Genomic DNA, 13,441 nt, shown 5'->3' with positions numbered 1-13,441 from the left:
AGGGACACAGGGAATCACCCCACCTCATGGGTCTCAAGAAGGCCCTGTACCTCCCACCACTAAAATCCTGTGAGAGAGAACATGGTGTGGCGACAAGTCACCTGCCAGACATCCCTGGGAAGAATCCTAACTCCCCTACGGACAACCCAAGCCTGGTCCACTCACCGTGGTGATAATAATCCTCGTGCTAGCACGTAGTTGAAATTCAATAAATGGCTATCCAATAATTGAATGAACCGGGCAACTTATTTACCCCTCTTTAAACTTATTTACCCCTCTTTAAACTTCAATTTCCTGCTCTGCAAAATGGGTAGTATGACAATTCCTAACATGATGGGATTGTGGTAGGGGTTAAATGAGTTAACTGTGTACAGCGCCTCCTCCACCCCGGATGTGAGTCTTACTCTACCATGACAAGTGTATGGACAATCTCCAGTTATCTGGAAATCTGACCTAGGAAGCAGCCTCCGTTCCCTGATAATAATGGACAGACGAAGCATCAGTTCATTAGTCTGTTAAATATATAAAAGACAATTTGATCACATATCATATCCCCCTCCTTGAAAAATAATTCCCAGATTCAACACTGTCTGACTGGTCATTAACACTCTCGTGAGACAGAAAGATGTTCTAATTCTATCAATGAAGCACAGAGTAATTTTCCCTGGGTTAACCAGCAAATCGATAAGAAAATCTAGGTCTTCTATCTTTGCTTCCTCATCATCTCTCCTCGGCCACCAGAAACTAAATACCCAGATGCATCATGTGCAGAATTCCACAATTCCCAAGCCAGCACACAGCACGGGAAAGGCAACATTGTTACAGGCAGATTCGAGAACTGTGTTCTGAGGGATTCCGCCAAGGACACCTATAAATGATACTTTCTGGCTCAGGAAAAGTTTCCTGCTCTCTGATCTGGAGTCTCTACTGGACAGAAAAGCCTTTTTAGAATACCTTGCTTCGGAATATCGGCTCTTAACTACTTGCCTTTTCCTTGAGTCAGTGTTGCCAATTTAGCTTTCCAAAAAAAGTCCTGCAGGTCCCAGAAGGAATGTATCGTCCCGCTAAGGAATTACAATAGAAAAATAATAACCCTTTGAACTTCAGGTGGCTTGTGGGCAGGAAACAAATTAAATCAAGGAGCCTGTGCTGCTCAGGGTGACGACACTCAGGCAGTCCCCAAGGAGAGGCTGCTGACATAGGTCCCCTGCTGGGCTGGACAACGGGAAGGAGACCAGCCTTCAGGCTCCTCCTTCTCATCTCCATAACCTCAGCCCCATGTGCACCTCGAGCAGGAAGGGCACCAAGAACTCCAGCCCCTCCAACAGTGGATGGAAGGGGGCCTCTGTCCCTCATGGCCACCTCCTGAGTGGGCTCCCAACTACCCTCTTCCTCCACAAGGACCCCTGCTTACTCAATAAGGATGGCAGTAGTAGCAATAACAAGTTACTGTTACTAACATAGAGCATGTACTGTGTGCTAGGTACTGTTGTAAGCACTTTCAATACATAACCTGGTTTAAATCCTTACAACTATCCTGTAAAGGAGGCACTGTTATTATGCCCAAGATCGCACAGCAAGAGAACAGTATGCTCCACAGCTGCCTCTACTACTTATCCCAGCCCACTTTCCAAGCTTGAAGGAGAGGGGAGGGGTCCTCTTGTTCTTACATATAGGAGACACTGAATAATTATAATGAATGAAAAGAGTTGCTGATCCATTTTCATTGGTTGCCCCAATAAGAGTTAAGAGCCCATTTTCTCCCTTCTCTGCCTGTAGTAGCAGAGGACAGATGATCCTCAATATATATTTAACATTTGCCAGATTCTCCCCCACTCCTGAAACATAGTTCCTGCACATTTTGCTGAAAGCCTAGCCCCTTCCGTGGCACTCTTGGTGCCCTGCCCATTAATAAGGCTTCCTAGGAAATCCTATCATTGTCAATGCATTGTGTTTGGATCTCTCATTCCCTATATGTTCTTAAGTCCCACAGAGACACAGCTGCAGGGACCATTTTCTGTGGGTGTCTCAAGAGTTAAGCACAGTAGCAGCTGGCAGTCTCACCTCCTACCTTTGCTGGCTGTGTAATCAACCTCCTTTTAATCCTGCCGAGCTCCATGCTGCCTGGCACCAGGGGCAAGAAGCTACACACAGGTAATAATTTAACAAATCACCTGTCTGGCTCTCTTGCCGGGACACCCACTCTGGAGCTTATACAGCTGCTGATGCTAGGGCTGCAGCCTTGCCTGTGGGATGTCAGCTAAACCAGTAAGTACTGAGCCTTGGGGACCACACACTTCCAGCTCTGTCCTGTCTTAGAGAACCAGGGTGTGGTGTTTGATAGGGACGACCCTCAGGAACTATGCTTCCTACTCCATGCTTAGCTCTTGGGGATTTTTTAATATTCCGATTTTGCCCAATGCAAGAGCAACTAGCAGAGCTCCACTCAGCAAGCAACAACACATCCTCAAGAACCTGGATTGCAAGAACATCCCAGGACACAGCTGTTAAGACACAGAGCATGGGAACGCGAACTGCAGCAAATGTACACACACACACACATACACACAACATACTGAAACTCATACAGTGTTCCACAAACAAAAAATTATGGTGTGAAACCCATTGTGGAGCTGGTCCCCAAATGTGCATGAGTCACATCCAGCCCTGGAACACACAAAAATAAGTGAAGTCGTCCCCAAACTTTTACAGTACTCATCCATTGCTTTGTTATTTGTCTATAAACCACTGAAAGAAAAGATCTTTTCAGTTTTACAAATAAGACGACCACTTTTAAAAAGTGAAAATTCTGTCACGACAGGCCTTATGAGAGAACAAATCATTTTACCCAAAGCAGTGGTAGACAGAAGTAGCCTAAGGAAAGACTGCCTTTAAATAACCATCAGCAAGCTATAATCTGTCAAAAGCAATTATTGCCATCAAATACTTGTTAACACACACACCGTGACATTCATATTTCAGTAAGACAGCAGGACACTGATTTTTAGCAAAATCTAAAAAATAAAAATACTTTTCAAACCAGACCCTTGGTCCTACACCTTGAGGAAGGAAACAGGATTTTTTTTTTCTTATAGTACTTGCTTATGATCAGTGCTTTGAGATTAGTTTGCCATAACACCAGCAAACGGCAGAGTAACAGAGTTTGTTCCAAAAACAAAAAGAGTGGTGTATAACGTCACACAGTCCCAAGAGCCAGGCTTTAGGGTGGACAATGGGAGAAGTGGGAACACATTCAGATGTCTGTGGCTTTATTTCTGCAGGGAAGAAGAGAAAGAAAAAAAAACACAGAAGGGAGGGGCACACTGAATGAAGGGAGGAGCACCAGGCACTGGGGTAGCCAACATTTGTAATCTGCATATACTGATCATGTTACAGGAGCCATGCAGAAGCCATGGCTTGCTGCTTCCTATCCCTTTCTACAGGTCAGTGTCCTTACCTGAAGAGAATTAAATGCTCATGTGTTTAGCACGAGCTTCCATGCCAGAGGCCCAAGGGTCCAATCCTCAGCTCCACCCTCAGCTCCACCTTCACCAGCTGAATGACACTGACCAAGTTACTTTATAAGAAACTCAGCTGTAAAATGGGAATAGTGATGCCCCTTGCCCTATAAGGTTATTGAATTATACAATGAAATGTATTTAAAGTGCCTATTTGATGGTAAGCATACAATAAATGATAGCTGCTATTATCAACATCATTCATATTTCAATAAATAAGGGCTCACTGGTAAACCAGCACAGTTATTGATCCCTAGATGGTTCATCCATCACTCAGCAACTATTTACTGACTGGTCTCCCACGTGCCTGGCACCAGGCTAGAGGTTAGGGATATAAAGGGAATAATATGGGGTTTAGCCTTCAACAACTCCTCCACTGGAGAGACTGTCATATAACCAATATAATGTCCAAGGTTCCAGATGAAGACCAGTAAGAAGCACACACAATCCAACCATTCGAATGCTTTACTGTAATTTAGAATGGACTTTAATTGTGACATGAATATACATATATGTATGGTGTGTGTGCATACACACACATGGTGAGATATATGTGTATATATATTATACATATACATATATATCAGCTATATATATATATGGTATCTGATAAATATGTACACAAACACCATGTGTGTGTATTTGTGTATGTATCTCCAGTACCACATTATACTTGTTTCCTATTTAGGAATTATACCGAGATTTAACCCTGCAGATCTCTTGCCAACACACTCACAGAGAGTTAATGTTCAACAGTGAGCTAAAGTTCAGCATTAACTGGAGGAGCTGCCAGATCAAAGCATGCCAAAATGAAGATAGCCTTCCCCTTTCGAGATTAACAGAGCCCAGCATGTATGTCACCAGAAAACATATAATCACAAAACTAAAGATGCTGCATTTATTAACTGTGAGTCTGAGTCATCAGGCAGCACTCTGAGCAAATTAAGACTAAACTGCCCTACTGTTGATGATTCATCAAACAGTTAGTGTGATAGAAAGATGGAGAGTGAGTCAATTCTAGGCAAAAGGCAAGAAGAGGAAGAAGAGAGACCAGTAAAGACTGTTCCAAGGTAATCATGACAAGTTGAGAAGCCAGTGCAATCATTTCCTTAAACCCACCAATGAACTCTTAGAAGAACAGCTTTATGGGGGATTGGAGTATGTTTAACAGGTTAATAGTTTGTCATCTCTAACTTTTTATTTCCCTCAAAGGGCTGGGTCAGCCCTTTATGGCCAACCTAACAGCTCATGTCAATTAATCTATGTAGGACAAAAATTCCTTTATCTAGATCTGACTCAATTTATAAGCAGCTGAGCACCAATACGTAAGGGGCAAAGATGAGAACTATTACACTTACCAGAGGCACCCTACTTTCTAAACAAAGCTGTAAGGAAAGATGGCTTTTCTTAATAAAAATTCCTCCTACACAGAGTTGGCACTGGAAATTGTCACCAAATGGGAAGGGTTACTCAGTCCAAGTGTTTCTCAAATTTTAATGTGTAGATAAATCACCTGGGTATCTTGTTAAAATGCCAGTTCCAATTCTGCAGCTACCAGATGGGGCCCAAGATTCTGAATTTCTAACAAATTCCCAGACGATGTTGATGGTGCTGGTCCAGGAATGATAATTCCCAGCCATGGCCCAGCAATAAAACATTCCCCTTGCTGTAAGGTATCTTTTCAGGGTTACAGATGACTCTGAGACTATAATGGAAGTCAAGGACTCTACCACCTAGAAAAATGTAAGAGTGCACTTGCAGGTATGGGAATACACACACAAAATTTCCAAACTCTACTATGGGCCATCAAAAGAACCTCCCACCTCTGTAAGGCAGTCCTTGAAATGCCAAGTTTAAAAAAAAAAAAAAAAAAAAAAAAAAACCACTCTACCTTAGGAAGCCTGCCAACTGCTGCCAACACCAAACTAGCTTGGGGTGGAATAGAGAGATGCACTCCTTTGATCACTTTGGCCCATGTGTGAGTAATTCACCCGCTCTTCTCTTGGTCCACAGAAACATAGTTAAGATGCCTTAAAGATAGGGGATAATAAAAGGAAAATAAAAACAGAATACCAAGAAGCTCTGTAATATAGCTCTAAGATATAGTTTACTCATCTTCCACTTGAGTTCCACCTCAAGGAGTCCTCATTCCTGGCATCCTGTCTGCTCTAAGCAGAGCAAAAGCTACTTAATCCCACCACTACCTGGCATTGCCTTCCCGGGTAATTTGATTTCTAGCGGAGGTGGAGGGACAGAAGGCTAGTCATCTTGGCTGTCCTACCTAGTTACCCTTGAAGTCTGAGTTTCCTTGTCTATGAAATGCAATCAAGAATAGACTCCACTTCATAATGTTCCGGGAAAAATAAGAAAATGCATACGTGATGTGCCTGACACATTGCAATTGCTTAAAAATGTTTCATTCTTATGTTTTATTATTATGGCCTTTATGAACATGCAAAGATCAAGATCCATTCAAAAGAAAAGGCTTTTGTTTTCTAAATGGAAGAGTGTAACTGCTGCTCTGCATGTCTAGGGCAAGGTCCAGCTCTGCCCATCCCACTGCTGCACAGATACACCCCTGCTGTTTGAGAACCATGCTGGAGGCCATCGTAGCCGCTCACAAACACTTGTGATTGTCTCTCTCTAACACTGAATTGAAGTTATTCTACCGCCTTCAGCTCCAGGATGGCAATGTTCAATATGAGCCTTAGGTGGGTTTTTTTTGTTTGTTTTTTTGTTTTTTTAAGCATCTTGGACTAAAAAGATCAAACCCAACCACAAAATGACTGATCAGGGAAAAGAAAGCCACCTTACTATGAAACCCTTACTAATTTGTGATATAAATTTATCCAGAAACCTTTCGTCCAAAGATCTCAAAAACTCTTAACAAGAAAGTTTTAACCACCGCACAACAATCCTAAGAAGTTGGGATGGCTCAGAACTGAATTCTCAACGTTGGGGTCTCCTGAAACTCTTGATAAGCAGTGTTCCTCAATGTGAGGTCTGAGAACCACCTGCACTCCTCATCTAAATGCATGTGAAATGCACATTCGTGGATTCCATTTCCACTGCTACATCAAAATCTCTGGGGAAGGAAATTGGAACCTTTAATAAATAACCCCCAGAAAGTTCCAACACTAAATTTCTAAACCAAGCGATGACTCACTCTCCCTCCTCCACAAACAACGGCAGACCGGTAAGTAAATCCAAAATGTTGTCTACAACTTCAAGGGCTTCACAGGCCTCCTGAAGTCTTCCCACAGGTTCACAGGTAAGAACCCTGGTGTATGCAACACCAGTCAGGGCTTCTTAACTTTCATCATTCAATTATCCCACCTTCACTTTAAAAAAAAAATCAAGTCCATACTATGTAAATTTTTATAAGAAACTCATTATTACTTACATCTATAATGAAAGTAAATTTTCTATGTAATGATTGTGAAATTGTGGGTTTGATCCTTAGTTATAAGTTTTCCAAATACAGCATATAATTATCAGTATAAAACATTGTGTCACTGTACACCTAAAATCATCTCCCCTATCACCTATATATGACTACTCTTCCTGTTCAGGTAACATCAGTTTGTGTAATCCAGAGATCTGGAACCATGTGAGGATTTTATGAGGCATGCATGGCCTGTGATGCAGAAGGCTGTCTATTCTGGCAAACTCCAGAAGACCTAACAGCCTCAGTCTGCACATGCCTGGCAGAGCAGGCTATGGGAGGAGAGGGCTTTCCCTCCTGCCAGAAGGCCAGAAAATTATGTCACCTGTGGGTGTGACTGACTTGTCCAGGTGTCCTTTTTGTGACCTGTCTACCCCATCAGTGAGATGAAACATGCCCACCCACCCACAGCCCAGACTCCCCACTGCAAGGACCATGGTTGACCTCTGACCTACTGGGGCCAATCTGCTTTTCTTCAGGGGAATTTGTAATTAGGGCACAGAGGAACTTGTTAATTGACGTTAGACAAGCAAACTGAGGAATGTTTTCGACTTGGACTAGGGTGACCTCCTGAGGCAGAAAACCAGTCCATAGAGGCAAGTAAGAGGAGACACCAGCTGCCCTAGAGAAAAAGTAGGCACAGGGACATCCCAGTAACCTAGCAATAAACTTCTCTTTAGCTGGTCTGAGCAGGCAGTTTCTCCTTGCAACCAAATCACCCCTAAGACTCACTGTGCTGCACAGCTCTGGCTCCAATGTCCAGGTGGAGTTGAAGGAAGGCTAGAAGCTGGGTGAGCACCCTTCCCAGATATACCCCAAAAGAGGGTAGGGCTTGAACCTTATCATAGGGTCAGGGAAGGGGCATTCTAATGTGGGTCCCCTCCACATTACTCCAGGTGAGAGGTGCCACAAGAAGGAGCAAACAGGAGGGTACCTGGAGCTCTTCCCTCCTGCTGATAGTGGGGAAACAATGACGACAAACACAGCTTACAGTTACTGTGTATGTTAGCATGTGAATCGGGCTCTTTACAATTGTTACCTCATTTTGTTTTTCTTGAGAGCCCCATGAAGGTGGTAATGTCATTTTCCTCATTTTATACATGAGGAAATGAAGACTCAGAAATATTAAGTGATCTCCAAGGTGATATAGCTAATAAATAAAGGATCCAAACTCCAGAGTCTGAGCCATCTCACTACCTTGCTTTTTTAAATGATATTAAAGGACAGGACAGAGACCCCAAGTAGACCTACTGTCAGAGTGACAGCAGACGGTGCAGCCACCAAAAGGTCCTCCCTCCAGCAGCCCTGTCTCCTGTGCCGTCAGTCCCTGACCCCAGCCAGCAATGCCACACCTATGGGCACAGCACCAAGAAACAAGGGTGTGCAGAGGTAAGAGGCTGGGGGAGAGGCTGTGCCACCTGACCGGGGCATGGCTTGGCTGGCCAGAACAAGGCCCAGTGGAGCCTGGCTTGGTCCCAGATCACAGAGGGTTAAACCAGAGTGACTTTTTTTTTTTTTTTACAATAATTGGTACATGGCATTCTCCTTTGTGGTCCCACATGGCACGGTGGAAGGAAAGATACACTTCCAGGCCAGGCAGAACCAAGGAAGCCTGCCAATACCCAAGCTGTCCCAACTCCTAACAAATACTGGAACAGAAACTACATTCCTGGTGTTAGGACTGGATGACATGCTAAGAAAGAGAAAGCAGAACCTTAAATACAAGCCCAGAACCTGTTCTGACACCCTATAACTCATATCTCATTTCCAAAACCTAAAGCTCAGAGAAGACAACAAAGCTGTCAAAGTTCACAAATGAATCACAACTAAAACTCTGATTCCCCAAACTCCAAGTAGATTTCAGGTTCTGTCCAGGAATTTTAAGTAAGTCTCCTGAGCTTTTCAACATTAGTATGGCTGGTCCTATAAAAATAATGCTGATACAACCACTCTCCACCATCACTGCAGCAGGGGCAAACAGTGCAATTTGGCGAGCACAGATGTAATGACTGCTCCTGGCAAGTCACTGAGGCCAGCACTGAAGTTGAGCTGATGTGTCCACACCACCTCATGAGAGGTGGGCACTTACTACATGGCCACCCAGGGATGGGGATTAGGTCTGTGGTCAGGGAACGTGAGTAACAAAGATGGCAGGCTGAAATCGAGGCCCGACCCCAGACCCAATCCCACCCACAGGCCACCAACAGCCCTCTTATCCTTCACCTCTACAGCAGGAAGACCTGTCTTATGAACCCGGGACTGCAAGGCACCATCCTCTCAGTGCCTTTCCCCTTTATCTCTGACTGTTCTGCACTTGCCTCTCACTTTTCCTCCTCTTACCCTGAAAGGGGAATGGTTCCCTGGTTCTACCCAAGCCTCTTCTCTCTCCCTTGTTTTCAACAATGACTCTGTGAAGGTGGCACTCGCCACTGTCCCTTGCCAACTCTGCTCCTGCTCTTTCCAGCCAGCTGCTGGGTCTCATCACCTGAATACAGTGCCAGCACCTCCACCTTCCCCCTCCCCTCCCATCTGCTTCTCTGCCTGAGTTCCTGATTTCTGGCACTGGGGAGAGAACTAACATTTACTGAACTTCCCACACTTCCAGGACCATGCTGAGTGTTTTCCAGTTCCTTAATTTAAAAGAATCATTAAAGTCTCAGAAGCCCAAGATGCAAAATCCCATCACCCTCTCTGTCCCCTCCCTCTGCCCTGGCTCCTGCATCTAGTCAGTGATCAAGCCCCATCCACGTGCTCTCTCTCCTCACTACACAGCCCACTTGTAGGTTTCTCCGTAAGCCCTCTTCTTCCCACACTCTGTCTCCTACCTGCTCCCCCTCCCGCTGCTCCTGCCTCCACACTCCATGCAAACCACACTGGACACTATCTTCTTGAGCACAGTGCTGATCACACTAACCCTCTGCTCAAGGACTGATCACACCTTCCCCCTATCTTTTCCTCCGAACCAACCCCAAATGACTTGCCTGGCACTGAAGGCCTGCCACAATGTGGCTGTGACATACATTCCAACTTACCACCCACTGCTTCCCTGCAAGGCAGCTGGGCTCCAGCCAAACCATGTGACTCCCATTCCCTGAAGCCACACTGCACTTCACAAGCCTTTGCTCACACAGTTCTTTCCATCTCATGTGTCTCTTCTTCCTATTTCTTCTGACTCAACTCCTCTTTCTCCAAGGCCCAGGGCGCACATGGCATCTCCTACAAGATGCCTTTGCTTCTCCACTAATGGAGAGTGACTATCCTCCTGTGAATTGTGGCTTCACTCATGTACTCCTCCTATGGCACTATTTAATTGTGTTCTCTATGATACCAGATGCTCCTTAGGGGAAGAGATTGAGCAGGCTTTATCGCTGCAGCCTTCACTGTACCTAACACTCTTTACATCAAAATGATATCCATTCACTCATCAACACATATTTATCCAGTGTCGATCATGCACCAAGTTGCTCTCAGCTGCTCAGTATATGATGGTAAACAAAAAAAGACATGGTTCCTACCCTCATGGGCTTTCCATCTAATGATGAGCCAAACTTCAATCAAATTGTACCCAAATGAGTGTACAGTTAGCAATATCTCTATGCTGTAGAAGGGAAAGAATCAGAGTCCTACAGAAGCACAGAGGGGCTGGACACCATGGTTCACACCTGTAATCCCAATACACTGGAAGGCCCAGGCGGGTGGACGGCTTCAGCCCAGGAGTTTGAGACAGCCTAGGCAACATATCGGGACCTCATCTCTACAAAAATTAAAAAAAAAAAAACAATAAGCATGGTGGTGCATGTCTGTGGTCCCAGCTACTCAGGAGACTAAGGTGGGAGAATCACTTGAGCCCAGGAGGTTGAGGCTGCAGTGAGCCATGATTGTACCACTGTACTCCAACCTGGGTGATAGAGTGAGACCTGGTCTCAAAAAAATAAGAAGAAAAGAGCAGCAGTAGCACAGATGGACCAGGAAGGCTAGCCGGGGAAAGTGAGGCTCGAATGAGTCTGAAAGTGGTGAGAAGGGGAAGTGGCAAAAGTGCTCCAGGTCCTGGGGACAGCCTGTGCAAAGGCCCTGTGGTGGACCAGGGCTGACAGCCAGTGTGGTTGGAGACTGCAAAGGAAGCAGGGGAAGGTGCTAGAAGGTGGCAGGGACATCTCAATAAATGTGTGCAGTGAATAAGAATCCATGACCCTCATCACTTAGCAAACTTTTTTAACCAATAAAACTAACCAACCTTAGATTTATAACAAAACACAAAATATAACTTAAAAAATACTCTTTTCCATTTAAAAGAAATGTCCTCCTTCAGTGTAACTGCTGTTCTCTAAAAAAGACTAAAGTGAGTTCTCATAGCTAAAATAGAAATAGAAAAGCAAGCATAAAAATTATGTAATTCTGGCCAGGCATGGTGGTTCACACCGGTAATCCCAGCACTTTGGAAGGCCGAGGCATGCAGATCACCTAAGGTCAGGAGTTTGAGACCAGCCTGGCCAACATGGTGAAACCATATCTCTACTAAAAATACACTGGCCAACATGGTGAAACCATATCTCTACTAAAAATACAAAAATTAGCCAGGTGTAGCAGCGCTGGTCTGTAATCCCAGCTACTTGGGAGGCTGAGGCAGGGGAATCCCTTGAACCCGGGAGGCAGAGGTTGCAGTGAGCCGAGATCATGCCACCCCACTCCAGCCTGGGTGACAGAGCAAGACTCTGTCTCTAAAAGATAAAAATCATGTAATTCCGTAAGTAATATGATGTTGCTCTATCCCTGAGTCAGGAGCCAGCCAACTGACTAGGGAAACAGCCTCTCAATCATCCTACATTGATAACAAGAGCAGAGGCTAATAACTGGCTAATAACTATTGAGCATTGTCTACAGGCACTAACGCATTATCTCATCTGATTGTCACAACAACCAGTGTGGTAAGTACCAACATCATTACCATCTTACAGATAGGGAAACTGAAGCCCAGAGAGGTTAAATAATTGGCTCAAGGTCACACAGGTGATGAGCAGTAGAGCTAGGTTCTGAATGCGGGTTAGTGGGACTCCGGAGCCTGTACACTTAGTCACCATACTACACTGCCTCACAAGCTAGCTACCATGTCAGTACTTCCAGAATCTTATTTACTTGTTTATCTCACCTTGTTGTACTGAAGATTTAAGCCACTGAGCACCGGCAACACAAAAAAGATAAAAATCATCTCTGAAGCAATGCAGTGGAACTTCTCATGTCAGCTCCCTTCCTGTTCCAGGTCTCTTTCAAAACACTCCAACTCTTCCTCCAATTTTAATAAAGAAAAATTTTCCAGTTCATGGCAATACTTAATATCCTGAGAGAACAGGAATTGGAAACCGATGAATCTCCTTAGGCTACATCCCAGCCAAAGTCAACAGATTCCAAACCTCTCTTGTAGGCAGTCGCTGTTTACAGCACATCTAACAGGAAGAACAGGGAAGTTGCAGATTACCGGAAGGCTCTAGCCATGGTGTTCCCAACTCTTGACAAAGTTCTGAGTCTTGTCTGAAGGACAATATCACACTTTTACTATCAACAAATTCTTCCCCAAACTATTCCTACTCCTCTTTCTCAACTCCTGTCTGAAAGTAGCCAAGACACAAGGGTTAATAAGCAAAGCTTACCTACTTGTGGATAACACTGTCCACCTACTTCAGGCCTGGCCAACCCTCCTGAGGAACAGCCAACTTGCCTAAGCCACCAGTAAGATCTTATTAAACTAGTAATGGTGGCCACCAAGTCCACACCCAAGCCTAAAGCTGGCTGACCTTGTCTTCCCTGCTGGCCCTCAGAGGCCCACCTGAGGAACTCAAGGCTTAGGTAACATGAGTGTATTTTGGAACTGCATTCCTGAACCACACTGTCAAGGGCTGAATTGAGGCCCCTAAAATTCCTATGTTGAAGTCCTCATTCACAGTACCTCAGAATGGGACTGTATTTGGAAATAGAGTCTTTAAAGAGGTAATTAAGGCAAATGAGGTCATTAGGGCAGGCCCTAATACAATATGGTGACCTTATAAGAAAAGAAGATTAGGACACAGGCACAGCAGAGAAAAGACCGTGTGAAGATACTGGGAGAAGACAAGCCAAAAAGAGAGACCTGGGAAGAAAACAGCCCTGCCAAAACCTTGATCTGACTTCTAGCCTCCAGAATTATGAGAACACCAAGTTTTGTTATTGAAACTGCCCTGTCTGTGGGACCTTGTTATGGTAGCCCTAGAAGATTAATACACACACTGTCCAAGTCACCCCTGTCACCCAGTTCCCTCCCACTCTTTGAAGGGCAGAGCAGTCTGGTTTCCTTCTGAAACAGTCAGCCATGTGGCACGGCCGAGCACAAAAGTCCTATCAGGCCACTGAGTGCTGAAGTCAATGGAGACTGACCTGGTATTGCCTTTCAGAGGCTGGGAACCCAGGACAAAATCTTATGTCAATTACACAGAGAGGATAGGTAGAA

The 13,441-nt window shown here is 44.7% G+C and overlaps 1 protein-coding gene across 35 annotated transcripts in view; it reads right to left on the bottom strand.

Moving 5' to 3' along the window:
* Nucleotides 1-13,441, bottom strand: part of ARHGAP26 (Rho GTPase activating protein 26) — a 458,635-nt gene that overhangs the window by 402,311 nt on the left and 42,883 nt on the right. The window contains exon 1 of one of the 35 annotated variants that reach the window (XM_047416990.1): nt 12,110-12,184. The exons of the other annotated variants lie outside the window; for them this stretch is intronic. The gene's annotated coding sequence lies outside the window, so the exon portion shown is untranslated. Of the gene's footprint in view, nt 1-12,109; nt 12,185-13,441 lie in introns of those variants that run through there. 35 annotated transcript variants of the gene reach the window in all.

The sequence above is a fragment of the Homo sapiens genome, chromosome 5 (genome assembly GCF_000001405.40).
Source record: "Homo sapiens chromosome 5, GRCh38.p14 Primary Assembly".
In the NCBI taxonomy this organism is placed as follows: Eukaryota; Metazoa; Chordata; class Mammalia; order Primates; family Hominidae; genus Homo; species Homo sapiens.
The sequence above is the reverse complement of the archived record's forward strand: the minus strand, read 5'-3'. Positions and strand labels throughout refer to the sequence as shown.